This window comes from Homo sapiens, chromosome 2 (assembly GCF_000001405.40).
Source record: "Homo sapiens chromosome 2, GRCh38.p14 Primary Assembly".
In the NCBI taxonomy this organism is placed as follows: domain Eukaryota; kingdom Metazoa; phylum Chordata; class Mammalia; order Primates; family Hominidae; genus Homo; species Homo sapiens.
Window position 1 is genome coordinate 56149428 of NC_000002.12, and position 20998 is coordinate 56170425.

The 20998-nt window shown below is 39.8% G+C and overlaps 1 long non-coding RNA gene across 1 annotated transcript in view; it reads left to right on the forward strand.

The window, feature by feature from the left end:
* LOC105374690 (uncharacterized) overlaps positions 1-20998 on the forward strand; it is a 231734-nt gene that overhangs the window by 203604 nt on the left and 7132 nt on the right. The window contains exons 7-8 of the long non-coding RNA XR_940109.3: positions 5834-5914; positions 20574-20768. This is a non-coding gene — a long non-coding RNA (uncharacterized LOC105374690). The remainder of the gene's footprint in view (positions 1-5833; positions 5915-20573; positions 20769-20998) is intronic.

Sequence of the window (20998 nt, forward strand, 5' to 3'; positions counted from 1 at the left end):
TTAGTCTTCACTGCAGCCTTGGGGTTATGTGTCTGGAGTTGAGTAGGAGAAGGATGTGGTTTGGCTAACATCAGGCTTCCTGTGCCTCTTGGAATGGTAGTCTGGCACAGTGAGATCTAGTGTGGGAATCCTTTTGGAAATCTCTTGCCCCTCTTTTCCTCAAAAGTCCGTTCATGGTGCTCACTGTACCCTGTATTCCAATTCAGGCGGCCGACCACAGTGATTTCCCCTACTGGTCATATCTGAGCCAAGTTCTGTCTTTTCCTTCTTGCCCCTTCTATTGGGGGAAACTGCTATTCTCCCTCAATCCTATTCATAGGGTCTAAATGAGGACTATCGTCCTTTTACACTTTCCTAGTTTCCCGGACACAGTGATGGGGTCCAGAGATGGCCCATGAGCTCTTCCCTGTGAGTTTTTAAGCTAAGTTTGTGGTCATGGTACCATGTCCACATAGAATGAGGAACACCCCAGGAAGAACAGAATGAAGGTGGGGCAGAGAGCACCCAGAGGATGCACAAGTTCGCATTTCCCCTAAAATCTTCAGTGCTGCCCTCCCTGTCCTGCTCAAGGGTTGGGTGACAAACTCTTTCTTTGATTTTATGGAGCTACCCCAGAATCTCACCAACCAATCTTCCTTTTGCTTAAGTCAGTTTAGAGTTGGGGTTCTTTTATTTGTCATTTTATAAGGTGTGGAGTAAGAATGGCAACAGAGCGTCATAACAGAGCATTCTCCTGAAATCACACCACAGAAACAGTGGCTTGTTCTGCTTGCTCTGTATGAGCAGAGGAGCAGAAGCACCACCTTCATGCAGTTCCTCAGAGTTAGTATCAAGACTTGCAGAATTTTAGACAGGGGCTGCCCCTGAGGGCATAGATAATCAGAACGCTCAAGGAGTTGGGTGTCATGATGAGAAATCACTTTTCGTACCCTACCAATAGACAGCCAAGGGGGGACAAATGGGAAAAATTATCTGATCTCCCCATAAAGTGTCTTAGGTCTGGCTTTGTTCTGGGAAGGAGACTCCATTTAACTATCTTGGTTCTCCTTCAAATGGCCCCAGCCCGTTGGCCCATCTTTACTGTTCTCTACAGAGACAGGACTAATAAACCTTCCTTGGACATGACTTCTGTTTTTTTTTTGCCTCTGTCTTCAACCTCAGTGTCCCTCCTCCCCACACTTTAACAACTTTTGAAATACTACATCTACCTCAAGGCTTATTGAAGATGCTACTTCCTCACTGAGGCCTACCTTTATTGGCTCCAGCTAAAATTAAACTTTGTACCTGTCATTAAAATAGAGTTTTTATAATTCCCTTAGAATTTATGCACTACTTCTCCCAATGCTCACAGGTATATTCATTTTATTTTCATGCTAGCTTGTAAAACATCAGGTCAGGAGATTGGCCTATATAATTTCTAAACTCCCTTGTACTAATTCTGTAATTCTAACCCTAATATGAACTGTTTACAAATTTATAGCATAAATAAAGGCATATATTTTTATTTTTAAAATGACTGTCTTAGGACCTCTTACCCTTTTTTGACAGGAGTTTAGTATGTCCTTCTTTCTTGAGATCCTCTCTCTTCCTGAACTGCCCCACAACTCCAGGGAGGCACTGTCCAAAAGGACTTTGTGCCGTGATCATAGGCCCATGTGGCTGGTGAGCACTTAAAGTGTGGTTAGTGGCTAGGAACTGGGCTTTTAATTTTTTTTAATTTAGATTTAAATAGTCACGTGTGTATGTTTGGCTATGGCTACTGTATTGGATAGCACAGCCCTAGGAGCTTCCACAGTCCAAAAAAGAATTTGCTCCAACCTTTGCACCTTCTTGAAGCATCAGTGGGGTAAGTGACAACAATAGCTGATGCTTCCCATCACCAAAGGATATTGCTCATGGAAGTGCAGTGCTGGTCCCTTGCTGTGAAGGGAAGGTGATAGAATCCTGCTCTTCCTACTGCAACTCTTGGGGAGTATGATTTTACTCTCTTAGGTTAATCTTGGCCTTGCTGCTTACGCCTGGGCTCTGAGGCTGGAAGTCTTATTATTCATCTTTTTCCACACACAGTTACCACCCCAGACTTCTGCAGCAACTAAGAGTGGGGGTCAGAACTGATTCTACTCTCCACCATCTCATGGACCCAAAATCACTGCCTCCATTCTGTCTAGGTATCCATCAATAGGAGTCAGATGGGTTTTCCATCTGAACCCCCCAAAACACAAAAGATCTGCCTTTGTTTGAATTCCTCCAGAAATAGACCTCTAGGCAAGAATTAAACTGTAAGTAGTTTATTTGGGAGGTGATCCCAGGAAACATCAGCATGGGAGTTGAGAAGTAAAACAGAAAAGTGAAGGAAGCCAATAAAGGATAATGAGTCAAATGGGTTACTACTGTGCAGCTGAAGCTCAGCCCTCCTGGGGAACTCTAGGAGGGAGTATAGAACATGCTTTAGTATTACCCTATCTTAGAGGCAAATAAGATATGATCTATTCACCAAATCCCCATCTCTCATCATCTGAGGGCTTCTCCTGAAAGCGTTAAGACTCTAGCACTTTCAGCTTGCACTGGGGCAGTCAAGTATGCCCTCACTGGCAGAGGAAAGCCAGTAGGCAGAGTTACAGGTATTTGCAGCAAGAAGTCACTGGAGTAGAGAGGTGTGCCAGGGAGTGACAGTGCCTGCACAAGGGCCTGGACACTCATATATCCTTTTATAAAATCGGCTGCCTTAATTGGTTCTGGGGTTCTCACACCTCCCCATTCTAGGGACAGCATCCTTGGAAGTTTCTTATGAGTAGAATCTCCTACAGTTATTAAATCTGGGATGGGCATCCTTTTTGGTTAGCGTATTCAACTTGGTTTGTCTGTTTAGTCATATATTGGCCATCCAGTGTACCAAAGACATTAAATACAACTTCTATGTGATCTGAAAATCACAAAAAAATCAAATGGAAATCACCTCCTCCACAGGTCCTAACAGTAGCACCTTCTCTGTATAAAAAAGGTGGCTTGGGATATAAAGACATCTTAAAATTTTAGATTTTAAATACATACATTTTCATAAACTCTTGCTTCCCCCAGTATCAACAGAAATAAGCTGTATTATGTTGTTACAGATGAATAGAATATATGTGCACAGAGTGAGAAAACACATTTTTAAAGTAAAGGAAGTGAACAATGGACTCTGTTCTTAAATACAGTCAGGTGGATTTTAGCGATGTGGAAGTCTCTCTGTAGGTGAACTTGGTGTTCTTTCATGGTAAAAGCATTTGGCTTAGTTTGTATTTTAGAAAGATCTTTGGTGACAGTATCTCCTCTTCTTCTTGAGGCTTGAAATAGAAGGGATTTTTAACCTTACATTTAATCACAGACTTAATTTGGTCTATACGCAAAGATTTACAATCATTCCAGGTATGCAGAGTATCAATAATAGAGGAGCTACCCAGAAATGTGTTGTTTCTCATTGAATATTCAGTGCGTGATATGAAGATTTATCTTGTAAATATCACTGGGTATAGCCTTGTAAATTCAAAGATACCTTATCTATAGTTAAGCTTTGAATATGGAACAAATGACGGAAGAATGAGTTTTTAAATGAAAAGATCAAAAAGGATAATTAATATTTCATAATCTTAATTAACTTTTCCACTGCACACTGATTTTGTATGTTATTTGGGGTGTAAGATGTGATTCGTGCTTTCATAACCAAATCAGATAATCTGGTCACAGAGTTGAATGTTAAAGGTAATGTGAACATCTTGTTTGGCTTGAGAAAAGAGTCATCAAGTTCCTCAATTAGCTCTGTGCTTATTCTAGGGAAGTTGCTACACAAGTGAATAAGATTGTAAGCATTTAGAGTAAGAGGCAAGTTATTAAGCATGCTGGGTTGGTTTCTACTGGTGAGAGATGGGTGAGTTGCTGGATTTTTGAGAAAGGAGGAACCCCACACTAGGGAACATGGGTTAAATCAAGTTGTCCAGTATATTTACAAACATGATAGGATTTAACAGATCTCTTAGAGCAGTAGAGTTGGCTGGTGCTTTCATGTTGGTAGACACCTGGCTCTTGAAACCAGCCAGAGTTATGTCTGCATACCTACCTACTGGCCCCGGAGAGGTGAATGGTGCATATCAACCAGGGATAGATGAAATTGGCCAGGACCTTTGATCATGATTTACTTTCCCTTTGGCCTCATCTTTCCATCTTGAAGCCCTTGGCTCCAAGACTTTGACTAGGACCCTACTTCTGACTCTGGTTCTACTTCTGACCCTGGTTCTACTTCTGACCAGCCCCTTCAGAACTAGCACACTTACTCCTGATATCTAGGATGTCAACTCTTTCCCTTCTTTCACCTCCCTTGCTCCAGTGATTCTTCCTGCTCAGGATGAGAATTCCCAACTTTATTCTGTTGACTTGGTTAATCTCCAGCTGGCTCAATCTCTGACTTCCTTGAGGTTGAGGTAGCATTTGGGGGAGAAAAGGGAAGGAGAGATTCAGATAATTAACCCCTGGGAGGTGACTAGAACTTCAAGTTCTGTGCTTGCTCCAGAGCATGCTGGTCCCATAAAGGCAAAATGAGAGCCAATATAGGACCTTGGAGAGGTGGTCAAGAGCAAGAGACCCAGTCCTAATTTATAGGCAGAGATTGAATTTTGTATAAATTAGGATATGCTAGATTTTGCTATATTAACACACAGCCCCCAAATCAGTGTTATAACAAAATGAAAGTTTACTTCTTATACATACAAAGTATCCAATGTGGTATGGGGTGACAACCTGCTCCAGTGTCCCTCAGGGACCCATACTAACCAAGGCTACCATTTTAGTATTTGTATCATGTAGGTCATGTGCACTTAACACTCCACAACAGGAGAAATAAGATTGGAGAATCCAGCATGGGTTTTTCATTGCCTTGGTGCAAAGGTGATACACTTCTGGCCACATTTTACTGCCTAGAACTAGTCAGATGATCCTGTAACTTTAAGGGGTTTAAATGTAGGAGAGGAAGTACAATATTTGGGGGTAATTACTGCCCCTACAACAAAATCTGTGGGTAAGGATTCCACCTGAAAGAGAGGAACAGGGATGCTGACATACAGGCCAAGAGTTTGGGGAAGCAAGTCCAGGGGAACCCATCCCAAAGAGAGGTGGAGGAAGGAATCAGGAGAGCCCGGGTCTCGCGCAAAGGAGCTCCAGGGAGCCCACAGCTAGCTGAGTTCTCATTCCCAACCACTAGAATGGCCTGGAGCAGGGACTGACATGCTGAATCTGAAAGCCACCTTCAAGGATCATTGTTTCACATTATTATGAAGGGAGTTTAATGATAACAAATGCTTAAATATATAGAGAATGCATTTAAAAACCATATGATTCATGCGTAATGTTTTGAATTAGTCAGTCACCATCCCAGGAGGAAATGTGCCATGTTCTGTTTTCATCACCTTATTGGGAGAGTTACCTACACTTCTGAATCATATACTTTGTGTATAAAATGGAGCTAATCTTTGATAAATTGTGGCTGTTTATTACATTAAGTAGTTATATTCATGACATCATGTAATCTTCTCTATAAACCTAGAAGATTATTATTATTACTAGCAACCCCACTTTGCAAATGAGACTGCTGACTTCCAGAGAGGACAAGGTTGCATAGCTAGTAAGAGGCTGAGCTGGGATTTAAGACATAGGTCTCAGATGAATCCAATATCTCATATTTGATTGCTAGAACTAAATAGAATATATAACATATCTGGTATTTCCTAGGAGCTCAATAATGTTGATTCTTCTTCCTCTTCTTTTCTCTTTTTCTTTCTTTCTCTCATCTCTGGAACTCCAGCCAAATAACTCATCACCTGTTGGGGATTCCTTCAGGGATTTGAGAAGTGCTAGTAAACCACTCACACAATGATTTCTCCAGGTGAGCATGGGAGTGAGAGTTGGTGATGGAGAGACTGGACACGTGCTCTTACCAGTCTTGCTTCTGGCTCTGTGCCCACGTGGAGGCTGGCAGAGGCAGGGGAAAGAGGGGACCAAAAGGAGTCACATGCCTACTTACCTCCCCCAAAATAAGAAGAGGGCTAGCTTTCACCCACCTTTTTCCCCTTTTGCAATATTTCTGTCCTTAGTGCTGTTGCAGGTGTTTGTTAATATTTGGATAAAGTGAGTAACTTGGTCATACAAATGTTACTTTTTCTTCAGCAGGGAAAGCTCTACCAATTTCCAGCTCTTCTAAAAAACGAAGTCATTTTAATCCCCATTCTTAAAAATATGTGGGTTTTCACACAAAATAAACTCCTTCATCGGCCTGATTCTGTGTTTCTCCTATTCTGGAAACAAGGTGTCGTAGGGCAGTGGGGTTGAAGGTAAAGGGTATGGGAGGGAGGGTGTGATTGTTCATCTTGAAAACAAGACTTTGTGTGTATGTGTATGTGTGTACATGTGTTTTAATTTAGAGGAAAATAAGTGATCTCTCTTGATGACACCCAGCATGGTTTGAGAATGTTTATTTTATGTTATTCTATAAATAAACTGAATGACTGCCAAGGAAAAAATAATCTGAGACATGATTCCTAGTGTCTACTCTAGTGAACTACTCTGAAAACTCCGGTCTGCCACTTGGTGTGAGCTCCAGGTTCTTAAAGGATAGTTTGTCTTCATGCATGGGAAGCTTATGACTTTGGCTTCTTCATCTAGTTTCCACTTACAAAAAAACTTTTGACAGAATCTCAGAATGATTTAGAATCTGTCTGTAATCAAATGCTGATAAATATTTCCATTAATGAGATGTGCTGCTGATTTGCTTATTGCTTACCCTGTGATAGGTTATAGGCTATTTTATTGGTAATTTTAATGATAATGATGATTTACTACCACTAGTCCATCAAGGTCAAATTATTTCTTAGCTAAAAGTTTAAGTTCTACTCTCCTGACTTAACTGAGCAAGGCAGATGTAGCCCTAAGAGGTGCATATCTTGGGGTAGGAAACCCACCAATTTATTTCTTTTTAGACTTTTTGCCTCAAAGGTGGTTTTGAAGCCTCATGTTTTTTCTGTTGTAAAGTGTCGCCATTGGGGACAAAAACATTATAAATCAGAATGGTAAGACTTTGACTGCAAGATACTGAGTCACCAAAGGGAAGACAGTATGTCGCATCCCTGGCTTCTCAAGGATTTAGAAAATCATTCTCCTCTATGTGCTTTGCATATAATGGGGCAGGTCAGCATAGAGAGGATGCAACTCTTTGGCGAATATGCAATGATTGTCCCCATAGCTAATTTGATAGATCAACAGAAGATCATAGTGGACCTTGTTATAAGAAAATAGAGGAAGTAGCCAGGCAAGTTGGCTGACGCCTGTAACCCCAGCACTTTGGGAGGCCAAGGTGGGTGGATCACTTGAGGCCAGGAGTTTGAGACCAGCCTGGCCAACAAGGCGAAACCCCATCTCTACTAAAAATACAAAAATTAGCTGGGTGTGGTGGTGCACTCCTGTAATCCCAGCTACACAGGAGGCTGAGGCAGGAAAATTGGTTGAATCCAGGAGGTGGAGGCTGCAGTGAGCTGAGATAGCACCACTGCACTCCAGCCTGGGTGACAGAGCAAGACTCTGTCTCAAAAGTGAAAAAAAAAAAAAAAAAAAAAAAAAAAAAAGAAAAAGGAAAGAAAGAAATAGAGGAAGAATAGTTGAACTCTGCAGGAGTTGGTTCACCTACTGAATTTCCTTTTAGCTTTAAGGAAAAATCTTCCTTTCCTTCCTCCAAACACTTATGCCTTTATTGTCAAAACCATTCACTTGGCAGTGGCACTTGTCACACTCTGCTTGTATTGTGAGTAAAAGTTTTGTGTGTGAAAGTCTAATATCTCAACTAGATAAGAGAGTTCCTCAAGGCGAGAGGCCGGGCTTTCCACTTCTTTGTGTCCTTGAATCATCTAGCTTTGAAGTTAATACATAATGGTGCATAATCCACCATTTATTATTATAAATTATGAATTATTGTTATGAATTATTATTCAAACCATTGCTACAGCTCATTATTCATACTTGATGAAAATTCAGTCAAAGTTAAAAGTATGTTGCATTGTTTCTTATGTATTTGTATAGAATCAAAACAACTTTATGTTGACTCATGACCCAAAGTTCTTGTGTAGGGAACTTTCTTTGAACAAGATTTATACTCGAAATTCAGTTTGTTAAATTCAGTGAGTATTTACTGAGTTTCTATCATGTGAAGTGTTATAGAGTATAAAAAAAGAAAGATAGTATATAAGCACTCAATAAGCTTTTAGTCTAATACAGGAATTGGGAATGGATTTCAACTTAAATATCTCTATGAATTGTTAGTAGCTGCTTAGAATGCTGATAAGAATTATTAGATTCAGTATGAAAGAGCAGTATGATCAATTAGTAAAGTCTACCATTTGCTTAGGAGTGGAGAATGATAGCATGAGTGCCACAGATTTGAAGAATAAATTCAAAGTCTAGATAGTAGAAGATTATTTTTAGTAGAATCCAGTCAATTAATAACTTAATCAGATTTGTTTGGTACAAAGTAAGTACCAAATATATAAATTACATGAAATTATATATATACATATTACTATGCCCAGTCCACCATAACAAAATACCATTGACTGGATGGCTTAAACAACAGAAATTTATTTTCTCATAATTCTGGAGGCTAGAAGTCCAAGATCAAGGTTCCAGCTGATTTGGTTTTTGGTGAGGGCTCTTTTTCTGGCTTGTTGGCAGCTGCCTTCTTGCTGTGTGTTTACATGACCTCTTTTATTTGTGCATGTGGAAGTAGTCAGTTCTGTGGTATCTTTTCTTATAATGTCACTAATCCTATTGGATCCCACCCCTATGACCTCATTTAACCTTAATTTCTTAGAGGTCCTATCTCCAAATACAACCACGTTGGGGGTTAGGGCTTCAACATATGGATTTGGGAGGACATAAACATTCATTTCATAGAAATGTGTGATACAAAGGATAGCTTCATGTAGTCTCCTATTTGAATAAGGGGATATCATAGAAGTTATAGATCCAGATAGGGTTATCATTTTTTAAAAAGCAAGACATCAGAATTGATCATTAATTTTTAAAATAACAGCTGCATTTAAAGACATCTGGTCTTACACGTTGTTCATTGTAGATCAAGTAATCTACATAATGTGTTTTTAAAAATTAGATCTTATGGGCTTTAAAAGTGATCTGAAATTCCTTGTGGAACAGAGTTTCATCAAAGCCACTCCAAAAGGCCTATGTAAAAATAACCATTCTTGCTGCACTCCATGCAAATAATCAGGCCAAGTATAAGACTAAAGTTTATTCATAATTAGCTTTTAGAAAAATGAGGACTGGAGAAAAAAATTTTGCTCCAAAGCTTATCATACATTTATCATTAAATCCTAGTCTCATTAATCATTTTTAAGCTTTTTGCCTACATTTTAGACTAACCCTGCTTATTCCTGTGAATCAAGTGGTAATCTTCTGCAGCTTGGGGAAAAAAAAAAAGGGATGGGTAACGTAAAAATGTGAATCAATATGCTAGTTCTGGGCAATTATCTTGCAAATTCTGCCTGGTAATGAAAGTGAGTAAGGTGCCCATAACCCGGAGGTTTCTTTGTTTGGGAAAATAAAACCAAGGAACTTCATAGACCCTCAGAGGGGAATTCTGTATCTTGGCAAGTAAAATTTCAGATGGAAATTACCTACCACACCACACTTGTGGGAACTGCTGTCCTCACTCTTCTATTTGCAATAGGGTTATCCATGGTATCACCTTCTAACTTAAATATTGGACAGAGAGTTTCCATTGCTGTCATGTTTTGCTTAATTAGTATCTTTATGGTAGGGATAATATTTACTGACAAAAAGGAAGCATGAAAGTTTTACTGTCACTGAGTCTGCTAGGACTTTTTATTGGGTTTAGTGATGAAGTTTTAAATGAAACATGCTGCTTTTGGATTAACACCTCTAATAAAGTAGAGGAAAATCTACAGGTACTTAAAAATCAAATAAAAATTATTAACAGGCTCAGAGAAAATGCTGGCTTCAGCCCCGGGTGGCTACAATCCCTCTTTAATGAATTCTGGTCTTTATGGAATTGGTTAACCCCTTTATTAAGCCCTCTCTTACTTATATGTCTTGTATTGATATTTGGACCCTTTATACTCAATACTGTAACTCGAATTGTTTCTTCTTGCCTAGAAGCAATCAAATGCCAAATGGTGCTGTAAACTGAACCACACATGGACATGCCATTCTTCCAAGGACCCTTAGATCAACCCCAGGAGGAGCCCTAGCTGCTGTTCCCCATTCAACGCCCCTTTTTTGCAGGAAGTAGCCAGAAAGAGTCGTCGTCCCAAACCCCCTGACAGCAGTTACTGTGGCATCTTCACAGTGGGGGCTGTTGTAAGAGTTATTAAGAAATTATTTTAGGCAGATAGAGAGGACAAGGGGTCCTTGGGAAGTTTTCATTTTTTAAAGCATCTCCAGAAATGTTTTCTTGTGAAGTTCCGGCTCTTAGAGCCAGGCTGGCAACCTTTGATATGCAAATGCCAACCATTAGAAACTGGGTCTACCCAAACATGGAGATTCCCTCAGCCTTCTTGCCCTTTTCCCACATGTTCCCGGCAGCATGGCCCCCACCTATCCCCACGTGTGTAGAACATCATGGTGCATTGTATTTGCATATTAAAAGGCTAGGGTGGGAGGGCCAGCTTTTTTGCAAGCTACATGAATGACATGCCTAGTCAAACCAATCCCCTGAGCCCTGTGCAAATCAGACATCGCCTCCTCCAGCCTCTGCATATATACCTGGCTGGTGTCCACCGTACTTGGGGACCTCCTCTTTTGGCTTTGGAGCACCCCCTCCCCATCTCTGTATGGGGGAGCCTCTTCCTTCTGTCTTCTCTCTTTAATTTTTAAAACAAAATTTAAAATTTTTCTTTCTTGCCTATTAAACTCTCTGCTCCTTAAAACAAAACAAAACAAAACAAAATTAGATCAGGCTAGGTGCTGTGGCTCATGCTTATAATCCCAGCACTTTGGGAGGCTGAGACAGGTGGATTGCTTGAGCTCAGGAGTTTCAGACCAGCCTAAGGCAATATGGTGAAACCCCATCTCTACAAAAGATACAAAAATTAGCTGGGCATGGTGGTGTGTGCCTGTGGTCCCAGCTACTTGGGAGGTTGAGTCGGGAGGATGGCTTGACTCTGGGGGCAGAGGTTACAGTAACTCTAGATCACACCACTGCACTCCCGCCTGGGCAACAGAGCCAGACTCTGTTTCAAAAAAAAAATTACATCAAGCCAGTGGTTCAAAATAATGAGTGTCAGATGCATACTCAACCAAAAAAGTATACTTTCCTAAATCTTAGTGACACCTTAAAATAATAATGATACATTAAAAAATACTATCCTCCAAGTGATATTAACTGCAAACTTTTGGCCTTGGAATTCTTGTCTTACATGTACTGATTAAAGAATATACCATCTTTACTTACCAACATGCCTCATTATTATATTGATGTGTGTTTAATAGACTGAAAATTTCACATTTGTTCTCATGGCTACATCTATTACAGTGATTTAAAAATATGATTTCTTAAGATAACATTTGCTCTTGGTGAAATTTAAATCTGGAGCCAGGCTAGATTTTGTTTTTTTGTGTTAGATTTTTTAATTTTTCCCTAAGAAAATCTATTTATTAAAGTGATAAGATACTAGAGCTATTACCCCTAGAAAAATACAAAATATATCAGTGCTTGCATTTCAAACTTATCCAGCTCTTGTTTATCTCGCCAGACCTCCAGGGTTTTATATTTCAGAGTGAAAAAATTAAATAATATTTATTTTTTATTATTAAAGTAAAAGCCAACCTGGGCTTTAACATAACTCTTAGCTTTAAATGGCTCATAATATCTTGTCATTTCTCTTTTATTCTGACATGACTGAACTATAGAACACCCATGTTGATGATAAAATAGAATCCCTTGATTTTAATAACAAACAATCTTTATAAGATGTTCAGTGAACTCTTGGTTAAGGTCTAGAAAATTATAGAGAATATTTGTTAATCCTATTTCTACCTCAAAATGACTTTCTCTTTACTTTTTTACCATGGGGATGATGCAGTGGCTAAAAGTGACACAGTAAAGTGTGACTGGGTAATGACTGAAATGTATACATGAAAAAGATTTGAGAATTCTGTAAACAGGGAAGCATATCATTTCAAGAATTTAGCATGGAGGCTGGTGTGGCGGCTCATGCCTGTAATCCCAATAATTTAGGAGGTCGATGTGGGAGAATCACTTGAGGCCAGGAGTTCACGACCAGCCTGGGCAACATAGCAAGACCCCATTTCTTTTTTGTTTTGAGTTTTTTTTTTTATTATACTTTAAGTTTTAGGGTACATGTGCACAACATGCAGGTTTGTTACATATGTATACATGTGCCATGTTGGTGTGCTGCACCTATTAGCTCGTCATTTAACATCAGGTATATCCCCTAATGCTATCCCTCCCCACTCCCCAACCCCACAACAGGCCCCGGCATGTGATGTTCCCCTTCCTGTGTCCATGTGTTCTCATTGTTCAATTCCCACCTATGAGTGAGAACATCCGGTGTTTGGTTTTTTGTCCTTGCGATCGTTTGCTGAGAATGATGGTTTCCAGCTTCATCCATGTCCCTATAAAGGACATGAACTCATCATTTTTTATGGATACATAGTATTCCATGGTGTATATGTGCCACATTTTCTTAATCCAGTCTATCATTGTTGGACATTTGGGTTGGTTCCAAGTCTTTGCTATTGTGAATAGCTCCGCAATAAACATACGTGTGCATGTGTCTTTATAGCAGCATGATTTATAATCCTTTGGGTATATACCCAGTAATGGGATGGCTTGGTCAAATGGTATTTCTAGTTCTAGATCCCTGAGGAATGGCCACACTGACTTCCACAATGGTTGAACTAGTTTACAGTCCCACCAACAATGTAAAAGTGTTCCTATTTCTCCACATCCTCTCCAGCACTTGTTGTTTCCCAACTTTTTAAGGATTGCCATTCTAACTGGTGTGAGATGGTATCTCATTGTGGTTTTGATTTGAATTTCTCTGATGGCCAGTGATGATGAGCATTTTTTCATGTGTCTGTTGGCTGCATAAATGTCTTCTTTTGAGATGTGTCTGTTCATATCCTTCACCCACTTCTTGATGGGGTTGTTTTTTTCTTGTAAATTTGTTTGAGTTCATTGTAGATTCTGGATATTAGCCCTTTGTCAGATGAGTAGATTGCAAAAATTTTCTCCCATTCTGTAGGTTGCCTGTTCACTCTGATGGTAGTTTCTTTTGCTGTGCAGAAGCTCTTTAGCTTAATTAAATCCCATTTGTCAATTTTGGCTTTTCTTGCCATTGCTTTTGGTGTTTTAGACATGAAGTCCTTGCCCATGCCTATGTCCTGAATGGTATTGCCTAGGTTTTCTTCTAGGATTTTTATGGTTTTAGGTCTAACATGTAAGTCTTTAATCCATCTTGAATTAATTTTTGTATAAGGTGTAAGGAAGGGATCCAGTTTCAGCTTTCTACATATGGCTAGCCAGTTTTCCCAGCACCATTTATTATATAGGGAATCCTTTCCCCATTGCTTGTTTTTGTCAGGTTTGTCAAAGATCAGATAGTTGTAGATATGTGACATTATTTCTGAGGGCTCTGTTCTGTTCCATTGGTCTATATCTCTGTTTTGGTACCAGTACCATGCTGTTTTTGTTACTGTAGCCTTGTAGTCTAGTTTGAAGTCAGGTAGCGTGATGCCCCATCTTTGTTCTTTTGGCTTAGGATTGACTTGGGAATGCGGGCTTTTTTTTGGTTCCATATGAACTTTAAAGTAGTTTTTTCCAATTCTGTGAAGAAAGTCATTGGTAGCTTGATGGGGATGGCATTGAATCTATAAATTACCTTGGGAAGTATGGCCATTTTCATGACATTGATTCTTCCTACCGATGAGCATGGAATGTTCTTCCATTTGTTTGTATCCTCTTTTACTTCATTGAGCAGTGGTTTGTAGTTCTCCTTGAAGAGGTCCTTCACATCCCTTGTAAGTTGGATTCCTAGGTATTTTATTCTCTTTGAAGCAATTGTGAATGGAAATTCACTCATGATTTGGCTCTCTGTCTGTTATTGGTGTATAAGAATGCTCGTGACTTTTGCACATTGATTTTGTATCCTGAGACTTTGCTGAAGTTGCTTATCAGCTTAAGGAGATTTTGGGCTGGGATGATGGGATTTTCAAGATACACAATCATGTCATCTGCAAACAGGGCAATTTGACTTCCTCTTTTCCTAATTGAATACCCTTTATTTCCTTCTCCTGCCTGATTGCCCTGGCCAGAACTTTCAACACTGTGTTGAATAGGAGTGGTGAGAGAGGGCATCCCTGTCTTGTGCCAGTTTTCAAAGGGAATGCTTCCAGTTTTTGCCCATTCAGTATGATATTGGCTGCGGGTTTGTCATAGATAGCTCTTATTATTTTGAGATGCATCCCATCAATACCTAATTTATTGAGAGTTTTTAGCATGAAGGGTTGTTGAATTTTGTCAAAGGCCTTTTCTGCATCTATGGAGATAATCATGTGTTTTTTGTCGTTGGTTCTGTTTATATGCTGGATTACATTTATTGATTTGCGTATGTTGAACCAGCCTTGCATCCCATGGATGAAGCCCACTTGATCATGGTGGATAAGCTTTTTGATGTGCTGCTGGATTCGGTTTGTCAGTATTTTATTGAGGATTTTTGCATCGATGTTCATCAGGGATATTGGTCTAAAATTCTCTTTTTTGGTTGTGTCTCTGCCAGGCTTTGGTATCAGGATGATGCTGGCCTCATAAAATGAGTTAGGGAGGGTTCCCTGTTTTTCTATTGATTGGAATAGTTTCAGAAGGAATGGTACCAGCTCCTCCTTGTACCTCTGGTAGAATTCGGCTGTGAATCCACCTGGGCAAGACCCCATGTCTAGTAAAAAGAAAGATAAGTTAGCCAGGTATGGTGGCATGTACCTTAGTACTTGCTAATCAGGAGGCTCAGCTGGGAGCTCAGCTTGAGCCCAGGAGGCTGAGGTTCAGTGAGCTAGGATTGTGCCACTGCACTCCAGCCTAGGTGACAGAGTGAGACCCTGTCTCCAAAAAATAAAGAAATTAAAAAAATTAGCATGAAAATAATTTTTTTCATGCCTTGGAGACATAATATAATAGATAGAATTATAATCTGTAATATTTACTAATGTTTTTGTTATAATATTTTTCTAATTAAGTACATATCAACAATAGATCACTTATATTTATAGCATATATTAACTTAGAGATAACTATTATTAACATTTTAGTTATATCTTTCCTGTCATCAAAATTAGGATTATATGGCATATTTTAAAATGCTATATTTGTGTAGTAATATATCATAAACATTTAATTTTACTATTATGTATTAATGAAATAAATTCTATCCTGTAGATATACCATACTTTAACAAATCCTTATTAGATTTATGTTACTTGCAATTATGTTGCAAATGTTATGAACATTTATGTTACTTGCAATTTTCTGTTATGTCAAATAATATTGCCTCAAACCATTTGATATATGTGATTGTAAATAAATTATTTTTCTTATGATAAATTCCTAAGACTGGAAGTCCTGGGTTAAAGGCTATAATATTTTTGTGAATCTTAATAAACATTGCTTTTCAGAAAGTTGTGCTATTTTATATTCCTATCCATTTGAATGTGCTTCTTTCTTCATACCTTTGCTAACACAAGAGTGTTACAATTTTTTATGCTTGTCAATTTGATAGAAAAAATATTATATTTTATTGTTGACTATTTATAGACTTAGCTTTGGGCTTAGATATCAGAACATAGTATATAGAAGGAATTCTTCCCAAACTGTCTTATTGTTCTAAAGGCTAGTTTTATTTTATTTTATCTTTGAGATGGAATCTTGTTCTGTCACCCAGGATGGAGTGCAGTGGTGTGATCTTGGTTCACTGCAACCTCCGCCTCCCGGGTTCAAGCGATTCTCCTGTCTCAGCCTCCCAAGTAGGTGGGATTACAGATGCCTGCCACCATGCCTGGCTATTTTTTTTTTTTTTTTGTATTTTAGTAGAGATGGGGTCTCACCATGTTGGCCAGGCTGGTCTCGAACTCCTGACCGCAGATGATCCTCCTGCCTCGGCCTCCCAAAGTGTTGGGATTACAGGCGTGAGTTACCACACCTGATCTAAAGGCTAATTTTAAATTGATGTCTTTTCATTAATCCATTCCAAATGTTTTTGGAGTGCTTCCTCAAAAAACAAAAAGAATTTAGAATGTAAAATTGTGTATTTGCTAAGTTAGTAATATTCCTCAGTAGATACCACATTAGCACTATATTCTGTGTGAGGATTCTCTTGTACGTTATTATTTCCCCTTCTTTCTTTCTGATTCTCACTCCTTTTCCCTTCTCTTCCCATAAGCAGCTATTCTAGTGTGTTTAACATATACATTTGAATATGCATGCTTCCTTCAACAATAGTGTTTTGTGTTTTTATCTTACATACGTTGTATCACAAGGGCAGAAAACCAAACACCGCATGTTCTTACTCATAGGTGGGAATTGAACAATGAGATCACTTGGACACAGGGCAGGGAACATGACACACCGGGACCTGTCAGTGGGTAGGGAGCTAGGGGAGGGATAGCATTAGGAGAAATGCCTAATGTAAATGATGAGTTGACGGGTGCAGCAAACCAGCATGGCAACATGTATACCTATGCATCAAACCTGCATGTTTTGCACATATACCCTAGAACTTTAATAAAATAAATACATAAATAAATGTAATCACAAATTGTTTTGGGCCACATTCAAAGCCATCCTCAGCTGCATGTGGCCCATGGGCCATGGGTTGGACAAGCATGTTTTAGAGCAGTAAGATGGGATGATAGAGATTCCAGTTACCCAAGAAGTGAAGTATTTCAGAAGAAACAGCTGTTCATGGTACAGAATTCATTCATGTTTGCTTCTCCTTTCCTTCCTGAACATTTGGAATACTACACTTGCTAGCTCTTTTGCAATTACATGAAACTGACTAGTTGAAGCCAATGAAATAGGCATGGAGCTGATATGTGTCATTTTCATGTCCAGGCATTTAAGAGCTAGTATGCCACCTCCAAGCTCTGTTTCCCTTTTTTCTGGCTGGGAAGTCACATGTTCCAGATTGTGCAGCTATAGGATGGCAGAACCTTAGATAGACTTCCACCCTGGGACTATTGGGAGGAACCACCCCTCTCCCTCTCTCTGCCAATCTGTATTGGGGCAAGGTTGGGAAGTACTGGCGAGGGTATTACATTTCAAGAAACATGACCAGGGAAGCCTTTAGGGAAATGTTTAAGTTGAGACCTTAAAAGCTGAAGGAAGTGACGAGGTAAGATACCTGGGGCAGGAGTATTCTAAGCAGAGGAAGCAGTAAGTACTGTCCCAGCAGTGAGACCTGAGGAAGGACTAAGCTTGTTATGTCAAAAGGGACAAAGTCAATGTGTTTGAGGCAGAGTGAACAAGGGAGAAGGTAACAGAGATAAGGACAGGCAGGTACTGGAGGTATGGGAGAAGAGATAGTGCAAAGCCTTTTAGGTCATTATGTGAACTTTAGCTTTCATTTTGAGTGAGATGGAGGACACTATCGAGTTTTGCATATTGGAATGATATAATCTGATTTATATTTTACCTATGCTGAGAATAGGCTGGTGGGTGGCAAAGATGCAGGGTGTGTAGCTAGGAGGCTACAGTAATCATCCAGGAAAAAGACTGTGGTGGCTTGCATCAGGGTGATACCAGTAGAAGGGGTATGAAGCAATCAAAACCTGGATGTACTTTGAAGGTAGAGACAATAGAATTACAGATGACATGATGAGGGGTATAAGAGAAAGAGTCAAGGGTGACTTCATGGTGTTTGGTCTGTGCAACTGGGAAAATGTAGTTGCTATTTGCTGAGATGGACAAGACAGTAGGGAGAACAAGTTTGGGAGACTATTTAGGAGCCCAGGTTTGGGTGGGTTAGGTTTGAGATGCACACTGGACATGCAAGTATGTTGATGAAGGGGGATTATGCTTAGGTTACTTTGGCAAGGAAACTGGACTGGTGAGAATAACAGGGGTAACGGCATGCCTTATTTGGATACTGAGGTCCAGGTTCTCTAAGTGGAGACTGAAATACTAAGGTGTTTGGGAGCTTTGTCCACAATTTCTGTTGGACAAGCTGGCCTGAAATTGGGTTTCCCAATCACTATGGTTAAGCTGAGTTTCTACAAGGCTAGCTGTTGATTTGGCAGGAAAAACATCTGCCTATGACAGCTATCCTATCCATCTGGCAGTCAAAAGGCCAGAATTCCAAACTCTTTGTGTGAAAAATCACCTAACACCACCAATCTCAAAGCTTCTGCCTCCTTGGGTCTGTGATTCATTTCCAGGTTTTCAGATCTCAGGGATGAGCACTGAAAGTATGTATTTTAAGGCAAAGCAATTTATGCTTATTTTTCTAGCATAAAAATTGCATTTCCACATTAGAGTCATGTTTGGTTTCTAAACATGTTACCATGGCAAGAGCTCTATTCCCCCAGATTTCCCTGGCTGCATTGTTTGTATTTCTTAGCCAACAACATCTGAGCCTTTTTTTTTTACCCACTTGGAACTGCCATTTATTCCAACCCTTCATTTCGTGAAACATTTGTACATTGTACATGTGAAACTTATATGGGAAATTTTATATGCCTCCCTTCCACCTCTCCTTTTTTTGGAGTGATAATAAAAGTAGGTCTTGTTTGCTCTCTGATGCCAGACCTATACCACTCATCTCCAGGCACTGCGCATTCCACTCCTAATTGCTGAACTTGAGAGCACCCTGTCTGTGGCTGGTAAACAGTGATTCATTCTGTGTGCTACACTTCTGCACAAGTGTCATTTCTGGGAAGCAGTGCTCACTAAATGCTTTCTCAGTTGTTATTTCTGTTTATCTCCCTGTTCATTTACATCATTCCTTGCACTGTGGACTCATTTTATTTTGTCTTTTCCCTGATGTTTTTTCCTTTTTGATTTTCTTCGTTCTCTTATTCTTCACTCAGAGGAAACTGAATGTGTTGCACAGACCCACTGGTCCAGGGAAATATGTGCTGCTTCCACTGAAAGGAAGGGTTCAGTATTATACCCCTTACCTATGTAAGTCCCTTAAATCAGATGCTTGTCTGGGGAGCCACAGGTAAAAAATTAAAAGGTAGCTGCATTCTAACAATTTGTAAAGTGAAATAACATTTGTTGGGAGTAGCTCTAGGTAGTATATGGAGCCCAAAACCATGATCAGTCCAGAATCTCCGATGGGATTTAGGGAGGATATAATGAATTGAATGAGCCACAAAGGCTGGGAGAGAGGAGAGGAGGCCATTTTTTAGAGCAGTTTCCAATGTAGATAGTAGGCAGGGCCACTGTGTGTGCTTGTGTAGATTGAGCTCTACACTAGGGTATCTAGCCAAGGGACAGGTTGGGGCTGGAGTACAGCTGTGGCTCTCCAAGCATCCTACTTATGATGGTTAATTTTTTATGTTAACTTGACTGGGCTACAGTAAATGCCCAGATACTTGGTTAAATAAAAAAGGGTGTTTCTGAATAAGATTAACATTTCAAGGTTGAGTAAAGCAGGTTGTCCTCCTTAAAGTGGGTATGCCTCATCCTATCCATTGAAGACCTGACTAGAACAAAAAAAGGCAGTGGAAGGGAGAATTTGTGGTCTGAGTGTCCCCAAATTGGGATACTGGTCTTCTGCTTTTGTATTTGGGCTGGAACTTACACCGTTGACTCTTCTGGTTCTCAGGTCTTAAGATTCAGACTAGAATTATACCTTTGACTTTCTCGATCTTCAGCTTGCTGACTGCAAATTTTGGGTCTTCTCAGCCTCTGTAACTGCATGAGTCAATTCTTCATAATAAATCTCTCTCTGTCTCTCTCTCTGTCTGTCTGTCTCTCCCTGTCTCTCTGTGTGTGTATCCCATTGCTTGTGTTTCTCAGGAGAACTCAGACTAATACAGTACTTGAGACACCACCTGAGGAAGAGGTGCTTTTTGCCAATTCACACAAAGGTTCCCTATGGACTACCTAAGCCTGAAGCAGTAATTGGTGTGCAGAGATGGGGAAGGGGGCCAGTGACTACACCTTAAAATATTATGTCCCTCTTTACTCCCATGTAGTCTAGGGTTCGGCTGTGGTTTAAAGTTCTAGGTCTTAGCATGAGTCATGTAAGATGGGTGATTCTTGGAATTTCAGAGCGACAGAAGCAATCAAAGGCTTTAGTCCCTCTGTTAGATTAGTGGTGAATCCTTGGAATACCTTTGCTGGTTGGAGAAAGACATAGCAAAATAGGGATGAGTGACATCTGTAAAGAAATACTCACATGTTGCATTTCGGTGTGGCAATTTGTACTTTTCAAAACATGTTCCTTTTACTGTTTTGACACAAAGAGTTATGACTGACACTTGTTATCCTTCTCATTTTAAAGGTGTGAAAACAGAGCTGCAGAGGTGACACTTGGATGCCCCCTGGCCAGGTGGTGACTAGAGGTCAGATCTCTTCTCTAGTTGAGTGGTAGTCCAGGTTCCTGGGCTCTTTCCGCCCTGACCTACAGGCCTGACAGAGCCGTCAAAACATGAGAGCCCTCTTTCTAATCATCTCACTTCTTGGAAAAAATAGAATGGTAAGCTCTGGAGCATACTTCCTTACAGAAGAATCACTGGAGGTCCTGGCTGGTATAGATTTTATTTTTTTTCCTGAGAAAATGGGCATGTAATTACATATTTTGAGCGGGTGTTTTACTCTACCTGTCCAAGACCTTTTCTCTTCTAATTGCTATAATGGCAAGAATCCACACATTAAAAATGTACACACACACATCTCTGGATAAACACAGGCACACTAATAACTATG